Source organism: Homo sapiens, chromosome 11 (genome assembly GCF_000001405.40).
Source record: "Homo sapiens chromosome 11, GRCh38.p14 Primary Assembly".
Classification (NCBI taxonomy): domain Eukaryota; kingdom Metazoa; phylum Chordata; class Mammalia; order Primates; family Hominidae; genus Homo; species Homo sapiens.
This window is the reverse complement of record NC_000011.10, coordinates 57,210,402-57,231,687: the sequence shown is the minus strand read 5'-3', so window position 1 is coordinate 57,231,687 and position 21,286 is coordinate 57,210,402. Positions and strand designations below refer to the sequence as shown.

Sequence of the window (21,286 nt, the reverse complement as noted above, 5' to 3'; positions counted from 1 at the left end):
CAGTGGGAAGAGAAAGAAACAGAGACAAAGACAGAGACAGAGACCGTGAAAGAGAGGCAGAGTGAGGAGAGAGAAATAGAGACAGAGAGAGACAGAGAGTGAGAACATAGGTGGGAAGAAGAAACGGGGAGGCAGGGAGGGAGACTGAGGGCAGGGAATCAGTGCCTGCTCTCCCTCTTCTGAAACACACCAGGGAAAGCCCTTTGGGAATTTACGACGGCAACAACAGGCTATTGGAGCCACTATTATCATTATTTTTACAGATGCTGTAAAAAACCTCAGCAAGTCTCCTGGGAAATCTGAGGTAAGCTATCCAAAACATGATACGGTTTTAGCCTTCCCTTGGTTGTGACAGCACTTACTAATTCACTGGTTCACACATGCCTTCATTTATTCACCCATTCATTCATCTGTTTGTTCCACAAGTCCTTATTTATCACGTATGTGCCAAGCGCTATGCTGGACGCAGGACCAAATGGTGAGCGGCCTCCAGTGGGCTCGCAGTCGGCTGGTGGAGGCAGACAGTGAAATGGGCGATTACAGCCCAGGGTGGTGAGTTCTAAGGGAATGTGTGAAGTGTTCGAGGGCCTGTCGTGGAGACAATGGAAGGAGTCAGGCAGGGCGTCAGGGGAGACTTTACAGCCACGGTGCCTGCCTGGAGCCTGCTCTGAAGCATGGAGTGTAAGTGGTTAGTGGGGAAAATGTTCTGGGCAGAGGAATTGCCCACGGAGAACACAGCCCCTCTGAGGAACTGGAACGAACACTCATCCTTGTTTTTACTCACCCCCACTCCAACTCTGGGAGGTTGGCCAGTTAGAGGCACAGAGAAAATCTTGCCCAGTTCTCATGGCGTGGATGCCGAGAATACTGGGGGCTGGGACTAAAATCCAGGAATCCAGGTCTCTAGACAATTGGGGTTGTGCAGGGCTTTTTTTTTTTCTTTTTTTCTTTTCTTTTTTATTCTTTTTGTCACTTCCAGTTTCTTCCCTCCCTGGGTTTGAGCTATCTTCCTCTAAGTTATCTGCCAGGGTCTCCTAACTAGGGGTTGGGAGGCCCAGGCCCTTTCAGTCTGAGCTTGTTAAAAAGAGGCAGATAGATTCCGTGGGAAGATCCTCCCCAACTTCAGAAGCCAGGATGACCCCCAGCGCAATAAGCTTTAGATGTGACACACCTCCCTACCGTCTCAGCAGACACCACTGTCTGCATTCCAAGGAGTTCAACACTTGCAGGGCCTGATCTGGGAGGGCCAGCTCTTCTCAATCATTGCACAAATGCTTATAAAGTCTCCATGCACGACGTTGGAGACAGACACAAAGATGTGACCCAGGGAGCTTGAAATCAAATACACAAGAAAGGAGGTTCTGAGATGCTGAGCTCACTCTAGAAGTTTCCATTTCTAGTTAGAGTGTTGGAGTATCAGAGCAATGCTCATTTATTTATTCATTGAATCCTTTTTTGTTTTTCAGTGTCTGTCTTGTGCCTGGGACTGTCTTAGAAGCTGGAGATGCTGCCGTGAATGAGACACACCATCCCTGCCTTCATGGACCGACTAGAAGCACCTTCTAGTCTTACTTTCTCATTGAACAGAGGGGTAAACTGAGGCTTATGGTTGGGAGGGGGAAATGATTGACACATGGTCATATAGTGGGATGGTGGCAGAAGTGGGACTAGATCTCAGGTTCCTCACTGCCAGGCAAGAGCGTGTTCTGTGACTCTAGGCTTAGAAAGGAGAGGAAGTCTCTTATTGAGAACACACAGGGCAAGTGGAGAGTCAGATCCATGATGAGCCACCAACTGGGAAGTAGGAGGGCACAAAGGTGCTTGAGGATCATTCGAGGTTTTGTTAATAAACCTTTTGTTTCAGAAGAGTTTTAGATTTACAGAAAAGTTGCTGATAGAATACAGAGAGTCCTCATATATTCCACACCCAGTTTCCTTTATTATTAGCATTTTAGATTAGCAGGACATGCTTGCCACAATTAATGAACCCTATTGATACCTCACTATGAACTGAAGTCCACTATGAACTGAAGTCCAACCCTATTGATACCTCACTATGAACTGAAGTTCAGACTTCCTTACTTTTTAGCTCATGTTCTTTCTCTGTTCCAGGATCTCATGCAGAATACCACATCACATTTAGTCATCATGTCTCAGACTTCTCTTGGCTGTGACAGTTTCACAGGCTTTGTTTTTGATGACCTTGACGGTTTGGAGGAACATTGCTCAGGTATTTTGTCCCATGTAGAAATATCTTTCTATGTCCATATATCAGGCACATGCTTGGTGATGAGATGAAGCAATACAAGATATACATGTGATTCCTGCTCTTTTGGAGTTTAACAATCAATAATAAAGTGCAGTAAGCATATTGCGGAGGAAGTACAGGATGCAGTGGGGACAAACACCCATATTCTGGTCTGCACCACAGAGGGGTCCCAAGACAGGGCTAGTGTGCTGGCTCAATGCACAGGCCCACGTTCAATTCCACAGGGGTATAAATGTCTGACATTCTCCTACTTCCAAAGCCACCTTAGGGTGCATTTTCTTGCCTAAATAACTAGAAACCTGAGGACATGAGACAAAGGACTATTTGTGCTCAGTGAGCATCTCCCCGAATATTGTTCTGTACTTTATTATTTAGTTATATGGCACATCTCTTGCTACTTGAGGCAGCTTCTTACATGGACAGTGGATAATCAGAAATGGATTCCCCAAACCTACTTGAAGCACCCCACTTGGCCAGCACCCTAGTACTCCCAGCCCCTTGTCCCCTGCGCACAGGGAACAGGTCTCTAGAAAAGCCCAGATCTGGCCACTCTGTCTGGGCTCTGCATTCCTTCTCATCTCTTCTGCTCTCTGGGCAGATCCTCTAGACTAGGGCTACGTTTATGCATCTTTTTTGTTCCCAGTGCCTGGAATGTGGCAGATGCTTAAAGGATGTTTGCTTAAATAATCGAACAACTGAATAGAGAAAGTGCAGGAGAAAAGGTGAGAAAAGCTGGTTTTTGCTTACAGCAAACAAGTTGATTGCTTTTAAAATAGCCCAGAAAGATGAAGTTAGGACTGGTGCTACAAGAGACACACTGGGATTGATAAGTACTAAGATTATTAACCCCTGACCCAATTAAACCAAATGTTCTGGCTCCTAAGGGCTGCCCTCTGGGGACCCAGTGACAGAAAAAAGGACTGGCTGGACCATGGTACATGGGCTCTTCTGATCTTCTCAGCAGAATTTCTCAAATTATGGCATTGTGGCAACCAGTTCAGTGTTCATACTGGAAACTAGGTCTTCAGGTCTCTTTGGATGGATGATGGTTTGCAAAGCTGGTTGGCTTCCTGGGGAAGTTATGGATGAGCCAAGTGGAGCCGACACTGAGTCAAACAGTTTCTGGGAATCCATGTCTGGACATCCACTGTTCATGGAGGAAGGACTTTTGTGGTGAGGGTGGGGGATGTACCGATTGAATAGAAAATAAGATCTTGGATTTCCCCCTGTATAAAAATACTCAAGGAAAACTTCTCTTCCGTTCCCTGAGAAAATCTGGGCCATGTTTAAGGGCATCGAGGAAGATTTGGCAGTCTTTCTTCTGGGTCTGGAATATGTCCCTAAGGTCACTAGGTCTTCCTGTATGATAGGGATGAAGCAGCCTCTGATGATAAGAGAGGGACCCAGGGAGGCAGAGATTGCAGTGAACCGAGATTGTGCGATTGCACTCCAGCTTGTGCGACACAGTGAGACTCAGTCTCAAAAAAATAGAAAGAGAGAGAGGGACCCAGGCTTTACTCTACGTGGACCGGGTCTGGTCTCTTTAGCAGAAAAAAAACTTTGGTAGCAGGGCCAGCCAGTGACCCAGAGTCTGAGGACTGTCACTGCAACGTGCCAGGAATGAAGATAATGGATGCAGCCCTTGCCCTTAGGAAAATAGATACACCAATATGGTGGTTAGTTGGCTTCCGGGATGAGACCTGGAAGCCCTTGAGATTCTTAGGATTCAGCTGGTTGCAAGCTCTGTACTGGGGCACTGTCAGGACCCCTGCAAGGTGATGGTTATTTGCTGTGCAGATAATAAGCTATTTTTATGTTTGGAAAAAGCAACACAGCAATTACCAAAGGAATTGACTAGAGATAGACATTACAGGTTGGAGAAGGAAGTGATTTCTACTCTGATGGTTTCAGGAGCAGCTCAGTGGGCTGATGTGAGGAATGCCACATAATTGAGCTGCACAGAATTGTCCCTCCAGTCCCACTTCACTGGTAAAGAAAATGGGGCCCTGGGACACTGGGCCATTGCTAAGTAGTGGTTGATTTGGCTGGTTTGGTTCTCTTGATTTTCAGGCCTGTTTACTTTCCACATCACCAGGTTTCCTCCTTTCTACATTGTAGACAGCTTTGGAAGGGATGGTCATAGGACTAGACAGGTAATCAGATGTGCTGCTGATGTGTACAACTTATACCAGTGATGACTTAACCTGTCTCCTTTAAAACCACGATGTTTGTGTCTTGGGTGTCCATTCTGTTAAGGGTACAGTCAGGCAGACCTAATTTATTTATTTATTTCCATAGGTTTTTGGGGAACAGGTGATATTTGGTTAAACGAGTAAGTTCTTTAGTGGTAATTTGTGAGATTTTGGTGCACCCACCACCCAGGCAGTATACACTGAACTTGATTTGTAGTCTTTTATCCCTCACCCCCTTCCCACCCTTTCCCTCTGAGTTCCCAAAGTCTGTTGTGTCGTTCTTATGCCTTTGTATCCGAATAGTTTATTTCCCACTTATAAGTGAGAACATACATCGTTTGGTTTTCCATTCCTGAGTTACTTCACTTAGAATAATAGTCTGCGATCCCATCCAGATTGCTGCAAATGCCATTAATTCATTCTTTTTTTATGGCTGAGTAGTGTTCCATTGTGTGTGTATATATATGTATATATGTTTTATATATATATGTATATATATGTGTATGTATACACCCACGTATATATGTATATGTGTATATACATATGTGTATGTGTATATGTGTATATACATATGTGTATGTGTATATGTATATATACACGTATACGTGTATATACGTATATACATGTATATGTGTATACATATATATGTATATATATCACAGTTTCTTTATCCACTCCTTGATTGATGGGCATTTGGGTTGGTTCCACATTTTTGCAATTGTGAATTGTGCTGCTAAAAACTTGTGTGTGCAAGTATCCTTGTCATACGATGACTTATTTTCCTCTGGGTAGATACCCAGTAGTGGGCTATCAGGATCAAATGGTAGTTCTACTTTTAGTTCTTTGAGGAATCTACACACCGTTTTCCATAGTGGTTGTACTAGTTTACATTCCCACCAGCAGTGTAGAAGTGTTCCCTTTTCACTGCATCCATGCCAACAGCTATTATTTTTTATTTTTTGATTGTGGCCATTCTTGCAGGAGTAAGGTGGTATTGCATTGGGGTTTTGATTTGCATTTCCCTCATCATTAGTGATGTTGAGCATTTTTTTCATATGTTTGTTGGCCATTTGTATATCTTCTTTGGAGAATTGTCTATTCATGTCCTTAGCCCACTTTTTGATGAGATTGTTTGTTTTTTTCTTGCTAGCTTGTTTGAGTTTGTTGTAGATTCTGGGAATTAGTCCTCAGACAGACCTAATTAGAATCCTAATTCATCTGTTATTTGGTTGTATTATCTAGACCATTGCTTCCTAAACTTGTGTGTGCAGAAGAATCATTAGGAGATGTTAAAATACAGATTTGGATTCAACAGATCTAGAGGGTGTCCTTAGTATCTTGTTTCTTAAAGCCCTCCAACAATGGTGGATGCTATTAGTTCATAGACTACATTCAGGGGAGCAAAGATCTAGGGGCATAACACCCATTAATAGGCTGTTTTCTCATCTGTCAAAATAAAATAGCTTTAAAAGCAATTTCCTCAGAGAACTATTTTGAAGGTTACCTGAGGTAATGTTTGCAAGGAACTCTCACAGTCTCCAGCACATAAGAAGTAATCTATAGGTTTTAATTTCCTCCCATTCTCCTGTTTGCCACTCCTGTTACAAAGAAAAGTGACTTGAGAAGCTCCTTTCCACTACAGAAGTCTTGGAGGATCTTTGCAAGGGTGCAAGGAAGAAGAGAGTGCACAATTCCAGGAATGTGGTGGTTGGTAATTAATCTTGTATTTAAAATATTTTTATCTTGGTAGTATCAAAACAAAACTAGAAAAAATTGACAGAAGTTTGCATATGAAATTAATCTGGTCAGAACTTTGTTGAAAAAGAAAGATAAAAATAATATCTTGCATATATATATATATTAAATTAAAAATTCACAATCTCAATCACCTTTCAAGTCTATGTGAGCCTCAGCTTCTCAGACTGGGATGTAGAAAAGGTAGCCTGATATAATTCCACACTGGTGATGTAGAGATGGAAACTCTGTTCCCATCACCGTCTCCTACTTAGTGTGTTCCCTGGGAAGTCATGCCACCTGCCTCAACCTCAGTTTTCCCATCTGTATCATGAGGAGCTTGAAAAAGATTGGGACAGTCATAACCTTCCTATTGTTATGGATGGCCTTTCTGGTATGATTGTGGTGCCAAAACTCATAATCCCTCTCCATGCAGCACTCTGGGCAATTGAAATGATAAATGTAATTTTGATCCACCATCTATAAGGGCTGACATTCTATAATTCTAAGAATGGCTAATGGTGGAATCTCAGGCATTAGAGTTGAAGATGGGCCTGAAAGGATAACTAGGATTTTGGTGACTTGAATGTGGAATGGGGGTGGTAGGAGGCATCCAGCCTGAGGAGACAGTGTGAAAGAGGGTAAGGAAGAGCATAGGAGGTCTGAGGAGCAAGTTGACTAGCTTGTGTGTTGGGTATACATACAAAGGAATGTGGAATAAAGGAGGAAGGATTAGACTGGGGACAAATCATGATGACTCATTCATTCATCAAATACTTGTTGAACATTTACTGTGTGCCACTCACTCAGCTAGCCACTAGGATTATAGTGATGAGATAGACCTTGTCTAGCTTAGCATTTTTGTAGGGAAAGATAGAAAATACACAGATACATAAACTGGCCATTTTATGAAATGGCCAGTTATGGAACATACTATGAAGGAAATAACATCTGAAGTGGAAAATAATATTAAGTACAACTTCAGAAAAGGTGCTTGGGGAAGGCCATCTTGGAAGCTGACCTTTCCGTTGACATCTGAAGAATAAGAATGAGCCTGCCCTGTGCAACGGAGGCTCAGAGAGTCCCAGATGCAGAAAACAGCAAATGCAGAGACTGTGAAGCAAGAAAGATCACAGTAGGTTCTGGGAAGGTTGTCAGGGCAACTGGAAGGCTAGTCCCAGGAAGCCAGGCAGGGGGTGGCCTGAGACAAAGAGAGCCAAAAAGGGGCCAGGTCATGTAGGACCTTGAAGGCTGTGGTAAGAAGTGTGACTTTATTAAATGCAATGAGAAATCATCAGAAAAATGATACAATCTAATTTGCATTTAAAATTGTTCCTCAAGCTGTTGCATAGGGAATGAGTTGAAGGGGAGTAGGAGGGAAAGCAGAGAGACCGGTTAGGAAGCTACTTCAGAGGCCAAGATGAGGGATGTTGGTGGGTCACATTAGGGTGGTATCCACAGCAACTGAGAAGAGAGGCAGGTTTGAGCTATATTTTTGATGCAGAATGAATAGGACTTCTGATCGCCTGGGTTTGAGTGAGTGGGTGGATGAGGGGGTGAGAAAGAAGGAATTATCCAAACTTTCTGACTTGAGCAACTGGGAAGAGGGTGATACCAATTAGTGAGATAGGGAAGGCTGGAGAAAGAATAGCTTAGGTTTTGGCTACATCACCATATCATTCCTGAGATGTTAATAAGACATTCAAGTGCGGATGTTGAGAAGGCAGTTTGATATGTAATGGAAGAGAGGTCTGGACTGATGATAAAAATCTGAACATCATAGAGATGGAACTGTGAAGAATCCTACAGAGAGGTCAGATAAGAGGAAACCAGAAAACGATCCACTGGATTTGGTGACACAGAGGTCTTTGGTGACATGGGTCAGGGGTTACAGTGAATTGTGTTCATAGAAGATAGACTACAGGTTGTGTTTGTAGAAGACAGACAGTAGAAGACAGACTGCAGAGAGCTGACGAGTGGATAGGAGGATTGGAGAATGCTTGTGAAAACAACTCTTTTCAACAGTTTTGCCACTTTGGGAGGCCAAGGTAGACAGATCACTTGAGGTCAGGAGTTTGAAACCAGCCTGGCCAACATGGTGAAACCCCATCTCTACTAAAAATACAAAAATTAGGTGGGTGTGGTGGTGTGCACCTGTAATCCCAGCTACTCAGGAGGCTGAGGCAGGAGAATAGCTTGGACCTGGGAGGTGGAAATTGCAGTGAGCCAAGATTGTGTCACTACACTCCAGCCTGGGAAACACAGCCAGTTTCTGTTTCAAACAAACAAACAAACAAACAAACAAACACCCCAAAACAATAACAGTTTTGCTGGGAAGGTAAGGAGAGAAATGGGCAATAGCTAGAGAAGGGCTTTAAAAAATTAAAGATACAAGGGCATGTTTGTGTGCTAGTAACAATCTAAGAAAGACCAAAACTATAAGTGAGGGTGAGGGCAAGAATGAGCCATGAAGAGACTGATGCTTTTGTGGAGAAGAGATGACTGGAGGAGAAAAGCCTTCAAGAAAGACAGAAGGGATGCAGGCAGGAGCACATGTGGGAGGGTCAGCCTTTCCTAGGAAGAGAGGACATTTTATTCAGTGCACTAGAAAGGACGTAGGAGAGGATGGATTAAGAAGCAGATAAGTTGGTAGAGTTTGGTGGTGGGAAGATCAGGAAGTCCTGGCTTTGTAACCTCCCATTTCTAAGTGAATTGTAAAATGAGATCATCTGCTGAGCATGGGGTAGGGAAAGGGGTCTAGAAAGTTTTAGGGGGATAAAATGTTATCTTGGGCAACGAAAAAACAAAAATTCCTAGGGAAGCTTCCAGCTCCAATTTTCCACTTGAGATTTGTGTCCATGAATTTAAAGTGAAATCACTTAGCCAGGTTGTGTGAAGTTCTCTGGCAACATTTAGATGCTGCAGCAAAGGCACAGAGAAGGTAATAAGCACATGTTGGAGTTTTGCAAAGGGATTGTGACAGAGGAGAGAGGCTCCAGGGCGTTGGGATTGTTTGTGAGAGTAATTATAAAGAAGGACAATGGAATCTAATTTATGTAAGGAAGGAAACAAAGGCAGGAAGTGGCTGCTGGAGGGTGGGTGTGTGGTGAGATCAATGGGTTAGTGGTCAAGATAAGGGGCCAGAAGTGTGGGGATGAAGGGTACCAGAGCAAATGAGCTAGAATTACTGGAAATGAAGGCCAAATAGAAGGATTTGGAAATAGAGATTTCTGGCCATGTCATGGTCTATGGTGTGGCTGTTGAGTGGGTGGCTGCAGTGGAGTGAGGACAAAGGTTGGTGGGGTAGAAAACATCAAAGAACAAGACCAAGTGGCTCGTTGAGTTGCACATACAGATATTGAAGTTTTGAGAATTATTGTAGGAAGAGGGCAGTGAACATGATTGTAACCAGGACCTAAAGTCTTCAGTGAAGGAGGAAGGATGATTAAGAGGTGAGTAGAATGACCCCAGTAAGGAGGAGGGCAAGGGTATAAAATAGCTGAAATTGGGGCCTTGGCTAGCTCATATGATGCCTTTGTACAAATTAGGAAAAAGTAGTCTTTCTCCAGTGGAAGCGGGCCCACCCAAGGGTGACGCCTGTGGGGATGTGGGCTGGATTCTACTTACCTCTCAGGTGGGCTTCCTTGGCCAGGATGCAACCTACTTGTATAACCTGTACAGCTGTGCCTGGACACCCTGGTTGAATGGCATAGGTGTCAAAGGAATCAGCTTTTTGAAGGAGAAAGAGCCTGAAAGAGGCAATGGGGAGCAAAGATCAACCTTCTCATTTTACAGACAGGGAAACTGAGGCCCAAAGAAGGAGGAAATAATTCAGACACACTGTAGGTTGGGGGCAGAACTGGAACTAAACTCTGCTCTCCTGAGACTCAGTGCTTTCTGTGACACCCTATAATGGAAGTGATGTTTTAGCAAACACTCCAAAATTGCAAATTCAAAAATATGTTGTCCCTCAAAGTTGCTTCTGTGGGAGGTGAGAGACTTCTTTCTAGTGATGCTGCCATTGTTCCAACCATTTCTGGAAACTCCTTCCGAAAGAAGATTTTCAGAACCAGCTTGTGAGTCACAAAGACAGCCCACTGCACTGCAGAGACTTATTTAGCATATGGGATGGGAACTGTCCTTTTCCTTCTTCGGTGCAGGGTCTCAGAGTCCAAGATTCAACCTGTGAACAAGGAGTCTTGTGGCTTTTCTTCATTGTATTTCAGCACATATTTATTTTCTACTCAGCATGTTCCAGGCACATGAGATCCCAGTTTAGGTGGGGAGTCAGATATTGCTGTGAGGTCTATTCAGTCCGATGAGGTTTGATTTTGTTAGGCTGGCAGGCATGAGGTTTGCATCCTTCGGGGATCTTAGATGTAAACAATACCCCTCTTTACAATACAAGATGTAAACAGTACCCCTCTCAGCTATTTATGCAGAAAATGAATTTGATAAAGGAACTCAGGGAGCTCACAGAATCTCTGGAGCATTGGGCTGCAGGAAGGAATCATCTGAGAATTATCTGTCTCTAGTAGGGACTTCTCTGCTTGCACCGTGAAGTTCTGTCTGGGACTGGATCTCCAGAACTCTCACTGCAGCTGTCTCTGAGACTTTGAAGATTCTCTGCTACTTTCCCTCCTTAGACAGAAAATCGGCTTCATGCAGCTCCTGGATCCTCAGGTGGTTTTCTTTCAAAGTGAATTTTCACACTTGGTGAATGGTGGAGCCCAGGTCAATGCTAGCATTAGTGGCAAAGGAATCTGGGAAAGTGAATTCTAGCTTCTAACTTGGAAAGTGGTGCTCAGATTGTGGGAAGATCCTCAAACATAGTGAGTCTGCTTAAAAAAACCTTGTGTGCCACAGATGTGCAAAGGTTGGCCACAAGGTTGTTGGTTTCCTTGGACCTTGGTTCCTAGAATTTGGGAAAGCTGCCCCAAGTTGCGCAGTCCTGGCTGAGCTGCGGTCCTTCCTGGTCCCATGGCCTATCTTTACGAAGTGTGATAGCCAGCTCAGAGATCACAGTACACTTGGGCTTTTTGTATTAAAAATTTAGAGTTCCCTTTAAAATGAATGCAGTTAAAATATATACAGGAAATCTTTCTTCAAGCCCCCGAAAGTGGATGGTTGTCAAGGTTAAAGCCTCCCACCAGCGAACTGGTGTCCATGAAGAAAGCTGAGACATTCAACCTGGAAATGCTCTTCCTCAGTGATCCAGAATTCTTTCCATCCAGTCTCTATAATAAATAGACAGATGACCCAGCAGCTCCCTATGCATGCTGAATGTTAGTGGGGCTTGCTAGGTGTCAGGGACTGGGCTTGAGCCTGAGCCGAGGGGGCCGTGAGGTTTCAGAGATGATGAAAATATGAACTCTGTTTACAGAAAACTCAGTCTAGTGTGGGAGACAGACAGGACCATGTCCATGTGTCCATGGAGTATAGTAAGTAGGGGAAAGGGGCCTTGGAGCCTTTTGACCTCAGGATCATACGCTGGGCTCTGTGAACTAGTTTTCCTATCTGCAAAGTGGGGATAATAAGGCTTAACTCATGTGGTGGTTAGAGTCTGTGGAGTTGCTAGTGGCGCATAGTGGGCACTTAGCAAGTTGTGCACCTTGCCCCCACCCCTCCTCTTCTCCATTCATTGTAAAGTGTGATGGGATCACAGAGAAGGTAGCGGTTAATTCCGCTTGATGGATTTAGGTTGGGCTCCTAATGATGACAGGGAGTTCTTTAGGTGGAGGGCTAGGAGGACACTTCAGGAAATGGGAACTGTGTGATCAAAGCCACGGAATACTGTGTCTGGTGAATGGTGCACTGAGTGTCTGGCTGGAGGTGTGTGAGTGGGAGAGGGGAATGACAGGAGGTGAGGCTGGAGGGGGATTTAAGGGCTCCATGAACCACAAGGGGAGGCTGAATGTTCTCCTGTAAACGTTCAACCATGGAAACATGGGTGGTCAATGAAGGGCTCTGAGGCAGAGGCCTGTTCCGGGAAAGCCAGAGCAGCTGCTTTGGTTGGTGAAAATATCTGCCTTTTATTTGGAACTGCCCTGGACTTTGAGAGATAAGGATGGAATGGGTGAAGTGCTTCTTGGCCTCCGTTCAGCCTGGGGATGTATCTGGTTGGTGGACATCTGCCACTCTCAGCACACTGTTAGGTGTTTTACATAAACAATCCCAAATCCTTTGAATAACTTTGTAAAAGGAAGTATTATCATCTCATTTTTGCAGAAGTAACTGAAGCTCAGGAAATGTTAGGCAATTTGCTCAAGGTCATGTGATCAGTACACGGCCATGCCAGGATTCAGAGCTGGGTTTGCCTAATTGTAAAATCCGTGCAAGTTTCACCATGCCGTGCTCCTGAGTCCCACTGGATTATTTTTAATTGACATGAAACTTGTGGCATGAAAACTCTCAATCTGTATTCATACTCTCTCTCTCTCTACCTATCCACCTATCTATCTAATGGAATGTCAAAAATTTACCTAGTGTCTCGAAATCTCTTGCCTTCCTTTCCTAAAATTGCTGGGAAGTCCGGTGAATTCTCTTTTTTTGGATGCTGAAACGTGGCTAACTGTTGCCATCAGAAGTGTCCTAGAGTGAGGCTGTCCTGCCTGACACCTCAGTCATGCACAGACCCAGATCTGGTTCCAGGAGAAGGAAGCTTTGGAAGCTGCCTTACAGAGTGTGATAGAGATTCCTGAAACTTCTTTTTTATTTTAATAGGTTTTTGGGGGAACAGGTGGTGTTTGGTTACATGAATGAGTCCTTTAGTGGTGATTTCTGAGATTTTGGTGCACCCATCACCAGAGCAGTGTATACTGTACCCAAAGTGTAGTCTTTTATCCCTCACCCCCTTCCCATTCTTTCCCCGAGTCCCCAAAGTCCATTGTATCATTCTTATGGCTTTGCATCCTCATAGCTTAGCTCCCACTTATGAGTGAGAACATATGATGTTTGTTTTTCCATTCCTGAGTTACTTCACTTAGAATAATAGTCTGCAATTCCATCAAGATTGCCGTGAATGCCATTATTTTTTTCCTTTTTATGACTGAGTAGTATTCCATGGTGTGTATATATATATATATATATGCCACAATTATATATATGGTGTATATATATATATATATGGTGTGTGTATATATATGGTATATATATATGGTATGTATATATATGGTATATATATATGGTGTGTATATATATATATGGTGTATATATGTATATATCGTATATATATGTATATGCCACAATTTCTTTATTTTCTTTATTCACTTGTTGGTTGATGGGCATTTGGGCTGGGTCCGTATTTTAGCAATTGCAAATTGTGCTGCTATAAACATTCACGTGCAAGTATCTTTTTCGTATAATGGCTTCTTTTCCTTTGGGTAGATATGCATTAGTGGGATTGCTGGATCAAATGGTAGATCTATTTTAGTTCCTTAAGGGAGATTTCTCAAACTTCTGTCTCTCCCTGCAGATCCCTTTAGACACCTGGCAATGCCAGAAATTCCTCTGTCTTTTGGTGTATTTTGGTATCGTGAGATGCATACGGCTTTGGACTCACAGAGACCTCAGGTGAACTGTCAGCTCTTCCCTTACCAGCAATTGAATCTATGGATGAGTTAGAAAACACCTCTGAGCCTCAGTTGTCAGCCAAGTAGAGGTGGCAATTGTACCTACTTATAGGCTGTTGTGAGAATAAAATGAGATGTCTGTAAAATTCTGGACACACAAATGCTTATTATGTATCTTCTTTAAACTTTTCTAGGGTGGAAATGTATTAAGCTATATTAGATAGTCATTTGGAATAATTACTTGGAGCCTCATCTTTGGAAAGACTGATTGGGGTTAGATTGTAAGGGTACTTGGCCATGGTGTGGAAGACGGGTGGGATTGGAGGTAGAAAAGGGAAGAAAGCACGAAAAGGGGCTTATCAGAAACAAAGTTCAGTGACTTCATAATTTATTCAGGATCCAGGCCCAGGTCAGCCTATGAAAGTGGTAGCAGATGGGCCTGGGCAGGCCCCTTTGATGCTGACTCTGTCCGTAAAAGGTTGGATGAAATCTTCATGAAGCCATAAATATGTTCTGGGCTCCAAATACAATCTTTCCTTAAAGGGCAAAATGCTCTCGGGTGGAGAGGTGACTTTATTTGGGTTTCCCTGAGATGGACAGCTCCTTACTGAAGGCTGCTGGCAGGAAGCTGTCCTGGTGGCTCTTGGCCAGGCCGGTGGAGATCTCTGACCTCCTCTCTGGCCCTCAGGAACTTCTGCTTCCCCAGGAGGAGGAAGGTGGTGGGGAGGAGGGGAAGGCACAGGGAGGAGCAACTGGAGCTTTCCAGAAAAAAATTTGGCAGTCAGGGAACCAAGGTGAATGGGAGGACTCCAGCTGAACTGTAAGCTTTATGAGTTCGTTGGTAGTTTTTGTTTTTGTTGTTTGTTTGTGACCCTTACTTCTTGAGTACTCCTTGAAGTCAGTGAGCGATGAAGGATCATTGGGTCTCACCGCTCCATTTAGCTTTATGTAACAAAGACCTGGAAAGGGCAAGTGGGGTTCCCAGGGTCCCCTGGACTCTTCACTGTTCTCCCTATCCTTCTCTGCTCTACTGTATTATTTTGTGATTGAGTTGTTCTAGACTTAAGTGGCATTGCTAATAATAATAATAACAACAGCAGCACCAGCAGCAAAGTCAATTGAACAATTTCCAAGCTGGACACTTCCTCAGCTGGAGTATTTCATGGGCTTTAATTTCATTTAATTCTGGGAGGCACAAGGGCTATTGTGATCAGCCCCATTATACCCCCATTATACAGATGAGTAAACTGATGTTCAGAAGGATGACGTAACCTGCCAAACATGAAATCATAGCCAGCAAGGGATAGTTGGGATTTGAACGAGGGTGGATGGGATCCAGGGCCCGAGGATTTCTTAACTACAATATTGTACTGTTTGGTTGAAAGTGATTGCATTTTACTCACCCCCTGGTCGTCTGCAGTGCTTGGTATGTGGGGTCAAATTGCTCAGTAAATTGTTTGTACATAAGTAACAATGAAATTTTTCTTTTTTGCACTTTACAGTTTTGCTTGGATCTTTGTGCTGAGAATACACATTAGGCACTCAAAATTGATTGGTTCAAAATTAATTTTCATGGGTAGTGAGGGACTGGTGTAGAGACACTAGGCATTAATGTGCACATATAAGATCTATTGCCTCCTTGAGATAAACAACATGGCAAGAGAGAACATGATTAATGTTGTTTCACATCTACCAGCACACTGAAGAGAAGTAGTGTGCTTTGAACACACTTTTGCAGGGCATTTTACTATTGTTATCTTGCAATCCCTGCAACTGTCTTGAGGAGAGGGTCCTATGTTATTCTATCTATTTTGCAGATAAAATTTAGAGTCAAAGACGCTGGCAAGGATGTGGAGAAAAGGGAACTCTTATACACTGTTGGTGGGGATGTAAATTAGTACAGCCACCATGGAAAACAGTATGGTGATTTCTCAAAAAACTAAAAATAGAATTACCATTTGATCCAAGCAATCCCACTGCTGGGTATTTATCAAAAAAAAAAAAAAAAGAAAAAGAAAGGAAATCAGTGTATCAGGTTATACCTTTACTCTCATGTTTATTGTGGCACATTTCACCATAGCAAAGATATGAAATCAACCTGAGTGTCTATTAATGGATGAATAAAGAAAATATGGTGTATATACACAATGGAACACTATTTGGCTATAAGAAATGAAATCTTGATTTTTTATTTTATGTTTTTATTTTCAACTTTTATTAAGTTCAGGGGCACATGTGCAGGTTTGTTACATAGGGTGAATGTGTGCCTGGTGGTTTGCTGTGCAGATCATCCCATCACCCAGGTATTAAGCCCAGCATCCACTAGTTATTCTTCCTGGTGCTCTCCCTCCTCTCACCCCCCACCCTCTGACAGGCAACAGTGTGTGTTGTTCCCCTCCGTGTGTCCATGTATTCTCATAAAAAAAATGAATTCTTGTCATTTACAGCAACATAGGCTGGGTGTGGTGGCCCATGTCTGCAATCCCAGCACTTTGGGAGGCCAAGGCGGGCAGATAACGAGGTCAAGAGATCGAGACCAGCCTGGGCAACATGGTGAAACCCCGTCTCTACTGAAAATACAAAAATTAGCTGGGCGTGGTGGCATGCACCTGTAATTCCAGCTACTTGGGAGGCTGATGCAGGAGAATCACTTGAACCTGGGAGGCGGAGGTTACAGTTAGCCAAGATCATGCCACTGCACTCCAGCCTGGTGACAGAGTGAGACTCTGTTTAAAAAAAAAAAATAGAGTTAAATGAACTTTGCTAAGGCAATATTGCAATTGAAAGAGTCAGGTTAGGGACCCAGAAAAGTTGGAACCCAAATCTACTACACCAAGTTGCCACTCAGGTGGTGGATAAATGATTTAAGCAGAGACAGGACCAGATTTAAATTCCACTCCACATTCAGGGGTGAGATCTAGGCAGAGGAAGAGGAGGGGTCTCTTATTTTCCCTTTGAGGAGTAAAGAATTAATGCAAAGTAGAGGTACAGAGTAAACTAAGCAAGGACTTCGGGTGGGCCCTACATAAAGCACCGACTCAAGGGGCTTGACCTCTGTGTTTCCCCACCACCAAGACCCCCTGATGCTCAGAAATATCTGGTCTCCCAAGCAGACTGTGCTGGATAAGAACTAATCCCTAGGTTATTTTATTTACTAAAAAATTAAGCTGGAACACCAGAACCGCCCACCAGATTCCAGACTGCTTTGTAATGGCCGATGAGTACAATCTGGAATGCTGTTACTTGTTACAAAGATAGAGGCTGCACACTTTCATTCCCCTGCACTGCTATGGCTTGTCCAGCATCCACAGAACCCTGAAAATACTACTGGTACTTGGAGGGTGCCTTTCCAACCTGAATACACTCTTAGGGGTCTGGATCTTCAGGCTGGAACCCATCAAAGTGGGAAATGAAATGTTTCTCTCCTGTCCTCATTTATCACTTGCCCACCATCCTTTGTCCTGTTGAGCAGGATCAATGGCTTCTGCTGGGATCACGTGGGAAAGCCGACAGGGGTGGGGGGCTTCCAGTCTGCAGCATCTGTGACTCTCCTGTCACCAGGTGCTTAAAGAGGCAAGAAGCAAGTTTTGAACTGTCAGTTTTAAGACCAGGGGACTGAGGCACAAGGGGCTGGGGGATGGGGGCTTCTGAGGGTGTGGTCATTGGAAGGGTTTTTGCATCCTGGGAATGTACAGAGGGTGTTCTAAGTGCAGGGCTGTCTTATGGAAGGTTTGTTTTCTTAGTGGACTGAGCCCAGCTGTACTGGGAAAGGCGGGGCTGGTGAGTGTGGATTTGTGTGTATGTGTGAAAGTGTGTGTGTGTGTATATGTTTGTGCTTGAGTGTGGCTGTGCGGGTAGGTATAGGAGTGTGTGTGTGTTTATGTTTGTGTTTATATGAGTGTGACTGGGTATGTATATGAGTGTGTGTATCTGTGTGTGTGTGTCTTTGTGTCTTTGTGTGTGTGTGTGTCTGTGTGTGTGTGTCTTTGTGTGTGTGTGTGTCTGTGTGTGTGTGTGTGTCTGTGTGTGTGTGTGCGCCTGTGCATATGTGTGTTCCTTTAGGGCTGCCAGGCTGAGTTTGGACTTAACCCAACACAGCCCCTTTGAAGTGGAAATGAGCTCAGTTCCTCTTTCCCCACTTAAACCAGATCGAGAGCATGATGGGCAGGCATTTGTAAGCTGTTTTTGCACTTTCTCACTGTCTCTGCCACCCCAAATGGTGGCACAAACAGTGTTTTTGCAAAAGACCCCCTGGCTCCTGGGCCTCTCTGGTTTCCGTGGAAACCATAAAGCCCATTTGCAGGGGCGCTTGAGAGAGAGGAGGGGCTGGGAAGGGAGGGAGCCTGGAAGCTCCAGCCGGTGGGTGGGTGGGAGGCTTCATCTCCAGACAAAGGGAGGAACAAAGGCTTGGGGGAGGGGAAAGAGGAGTGTCACTAAGGACCAGATTTATCGCCTTGTCTTGTGGTTCTCCGAACTGATTACAGAATAATGAGCTTTGGGGCGGGGTAGTGGGGGAGGTAGCTAAAGGGGGACTGTGAGGCTATGTCATGTGTGGCCCTTTGTCCAAGACCAGGACAAAGGGGTTGGAGGAAAAGTCCTCTTCACAACCCCTTGCCGGCAGGATAAACTCCGAATTCCCTGGACTGCCATTCAAGGCCCTTTCAGTATCTGAGCTCGAGTTGCCTACTTTCCTGGATATCCTCCCTGACAGTCCCATAGAAAAGCATCAGCTTTGGACTGTAATTTCCTCCAGGGCAGCGACCTTGTCTTATTTATTTCTGCATCTTCAATGCTTGGCCTCATAGCTGAGTTGTATAAATTGGTAAAATGTGCATGCTAACTTCAGTACCCCCTGTCTGGAAGGCCCCTGATTCTTCTCTCTCCCCATACAAATACTACCCTTTTTAAAACTATCATGTCTCCAAAAGTTTTCCCAACCCACATTCATTACCAAGTTCCTTAAAAGATGAATATAGTTCCTTGGCTTGTAAGTGTATATTAATATCTGGTTTCTTTAAACACCTGTGTTTGTAATTAATCACAGCCTGTTTGTTTTTAAAATGCACACTCTTTCCCTTCTGTTGGAAAGGGCATGGAATTTGGATAAACAATAATGAAGAATGCTCATCAATAATTCAGTTCCTATTATGAGTGCTTTGCATGCAAATTATCATTTGAAGTAAAAAAAATCTGACTTTGAGACTTGGTTGTACATCTACTACTTGTGAACTTAAGCAAAACATTTCAACTCTCTGAACTTCAATGTCTTCATCTGGAATATGGGAATTCTCATACTAATCTCCACATTCTCTTCATTGGGTTGTTTTAAGAGCTAGTAGTCAGGACAGTGCTTTGAAACCTGGTGTTGTGAGTTATTGTCACCGGTAGGAGTTCTTTGAATGCAGGGCACGTGTCTTACCGACTTTATAGCCTTCTTTCTGTTCCACCCCATGCATGAGGTTCAGCCACCAAACCAGTAACACACATCAGTTGCTTCTTGAGTGGAACTGAAGGTTTGTAGAGAAAATGGTGCTGGAGGGTTGTCTGACTCTAGGTGGGGAATCCATACCCATTGTGTGTGGTCATTCAGGCCTGGGGATTGTTAGGGTGTTTGTGGGATTTTCTTAGGGTAACAAATCCACAGGGGTCAAAGGTCACAGCTTAGGGTTGAGAAATATTAAGAGAAAATTTAGGAAAAAGGGCAAGGTGAAGGCTAAGAAATCCTAGGGAACAGAGTTAAGGAAGCTCAGACTTTAAACTACAGTTGACCCTTAAACAATGCACAGTCAAAAATCCGTGTATAACTTTGTACTCCCCGAAAACTACTAATAGTCTACTGGTGATGGTAAGCCTTATTGATAACATACATATTAACACATAGTTTGTATGTTATATGTATTTTATACCATATTCTTACAATAAAGGAAGTTAGAGAAAAGAAAATGTTACTAAGAAAACCATAAGGAAATAAAATATATTTACTCTTCATTAAGTGTAAGTAGATTATCATAATAGTCTTTATCCTGGTTGTCTTCACGTTGAGTAGAGCAAGCTTGTCAAACTTACGGCTCACGGCTGCATGTGGCCCAGGACAACTTTGAATGCTGTCTAACACAAATTCATAAACTTTCTTAAAACATTATGAGACTTTTTTGTGATTTTTTTTCTTTTAAGCTCATCAGCTATTGTTAGTGTTAGTGTATTTCATGTGTGGCCCAAGACAATTCTTCTTCTTCCAACGTGGCTCAGGGAAGCCAAAAGAGTGGACATTCCCAGGAGAAAGAAGGAGGCAAGGAGGGGTTGGTTTTGCTGTCTCAGGGATGGCAGAGGCAGAAGAGGTGGAGGAGATGGAAGGGGAGGCGGGAGAGGCAGGCTGTGTTATTCAAGGGTGAATCGTACTTGAGTACCCCTGCTACTTGACAGCCACATTCATCTATTAATCATCATCTGGTTTTATTTTCACAACCACCTTGTTAAGTGGGTGTTGCTATCCCATATTAAGGGTGAAGTGACTGGGCTCAGAAGCTTGCCTTGCCCCAACCCAGGCCTTCTTCTGCAGCTTTGTATTACTTCCATGACCCTGTACCCTGGTCTCGAAGTCTCATCGCCCTAATGGAGCAAAAGTAAGATGATCTCTCTGAAGCCCCACTGAAGATATTGCCAGGGGAGAGAAAACCAATAGGTGTGGTGACTGTAAGAAAACATTTGGTTGGAAATCACAGCTTGTCATCCAGGAACGAGCTCACACCAGGGAGAAGAAACCCAACAGAGCTTCCTGTGTTGTTGCCCGGGTGGTCTGCTCCCTGCACTCACACTCCCTGCCTGCCTGTCCATCCATTTAACTCACAAACATCCATCATCACAGGGCATTGCAGGATGAGGTGACATAGAGGGGCAGGGAATGTGGAGGGGGAAGGGAAAAGCAAATGGTGATCACCAACAGCTGGCCTCCCTTTCCTTGCCCCACCCCCAGGACCTCAAGGTTCCCAGGGGCAGGGGTGAGCCCGATTAAGAGCCGTCCGTCAGGACATACCCACCAGCTGCCGGGTGACCTCGGAGGCTGTTTAATGTCCAGCAACACAATGTCAGTCACAACCTTTACCCTGTCTGCACCGTTGGAGGATGGAGCTTATTCCAAAGAGGAAAACGTCTTTAAAATAGAAGCTAGTCTCCTCAGCCTGCCCCCCTGGCTTTTCCTGCAACTTCAAGGCTCCTGCTGGAAGCTTGGAGATGGGTGTTTTCCTTCTTCAGTTGAGCCAAGAAAGGGGCCAGGTGGGAATTTACCAAATGGAACAGACCACCAGGACCAATTGTTATCTCAGAGCCCACAAAAACATTTTGATTTCCAAGGACATGTCTTAGCATGCCTCCCAATCCTTTTATGAAGGGAGGAGAGCCCCTCATTTTCATTCTTCAGTCCCTGCCTGTTATCTAGAGGGGTAGTGTACCCTCCTAGGTCTAGAGCTGCAGTGGTCCAATACGGTAGCCAATAGCCACATGTGGCTATGCAAATTCCAATT

The 21,286-nt window shown here is 44.0% G+C and overlaps 1 long non-coding RNA gene across 4 annotated transcripts in view, besides 2 other annotated features; it reads left to right on the top strand.

Moving 5' to 3' along the window:
* Positions 1-61: 61 nt before the first annotated feature.
* LOC105369309 (uncharacterized) overlaps positions 62-21,286 on the top strand; it is a 189,617-nt gene continuing 168,392 nt past the window's right edge. For 3 of the 4 annotated variants that reach the window (XR_007062670.1, XR_007062671.1, XR_001748217.1), the window contains exons 1-2: positions 62-304; positions 1,467-2,230. This is a non-coding gene — a long non-coding RNA (uncharacterized LOC105369309). Of the gene's footprint in view, positions 305-1,466; positions 2,231-8,453; positions 9,648-21,286 lie in introns of those variants that run through there. The other variant, XR_950120.3, reaches the window with a different exon arrangement.
* Positions 17,319-17,853: an enhancer, noted in NCBI's record as "H3K27ac hESC enhancer chr11:56981309-56981843 (GRCh37/hg19 assembly coordinates)". NCBI's record gives its function as "activates a minimal SCP1, AML or CMV promoter by ChIP-STARR-seq in primed H9 embryonic stem cells {active_cell/tissue: H9 hESC(primed)}" and the evidence as "EXISTENCE:reporter gene assay evidence [ECO:0000049][PMID:30033119]".
* Positions 17,854-18,387: an enhancer, noted in NCBI's record as "NANOG-H3K27ac hESC enhancer chr11:56980775-56981308 (GRCh37/hg19 assembly coordinates)". NCBI's record gives its function as "activates a minimal SCP1, AML or CMV promoter by ChIP-STARR-seq in naive and primed H9 embryonic stem cells {active_cell/tissue: H9 hESC(naive and primed)}" and the evidence as "EXISTENCE:reporter gene assay evidence [ECO:0000049][PMID:30033119]".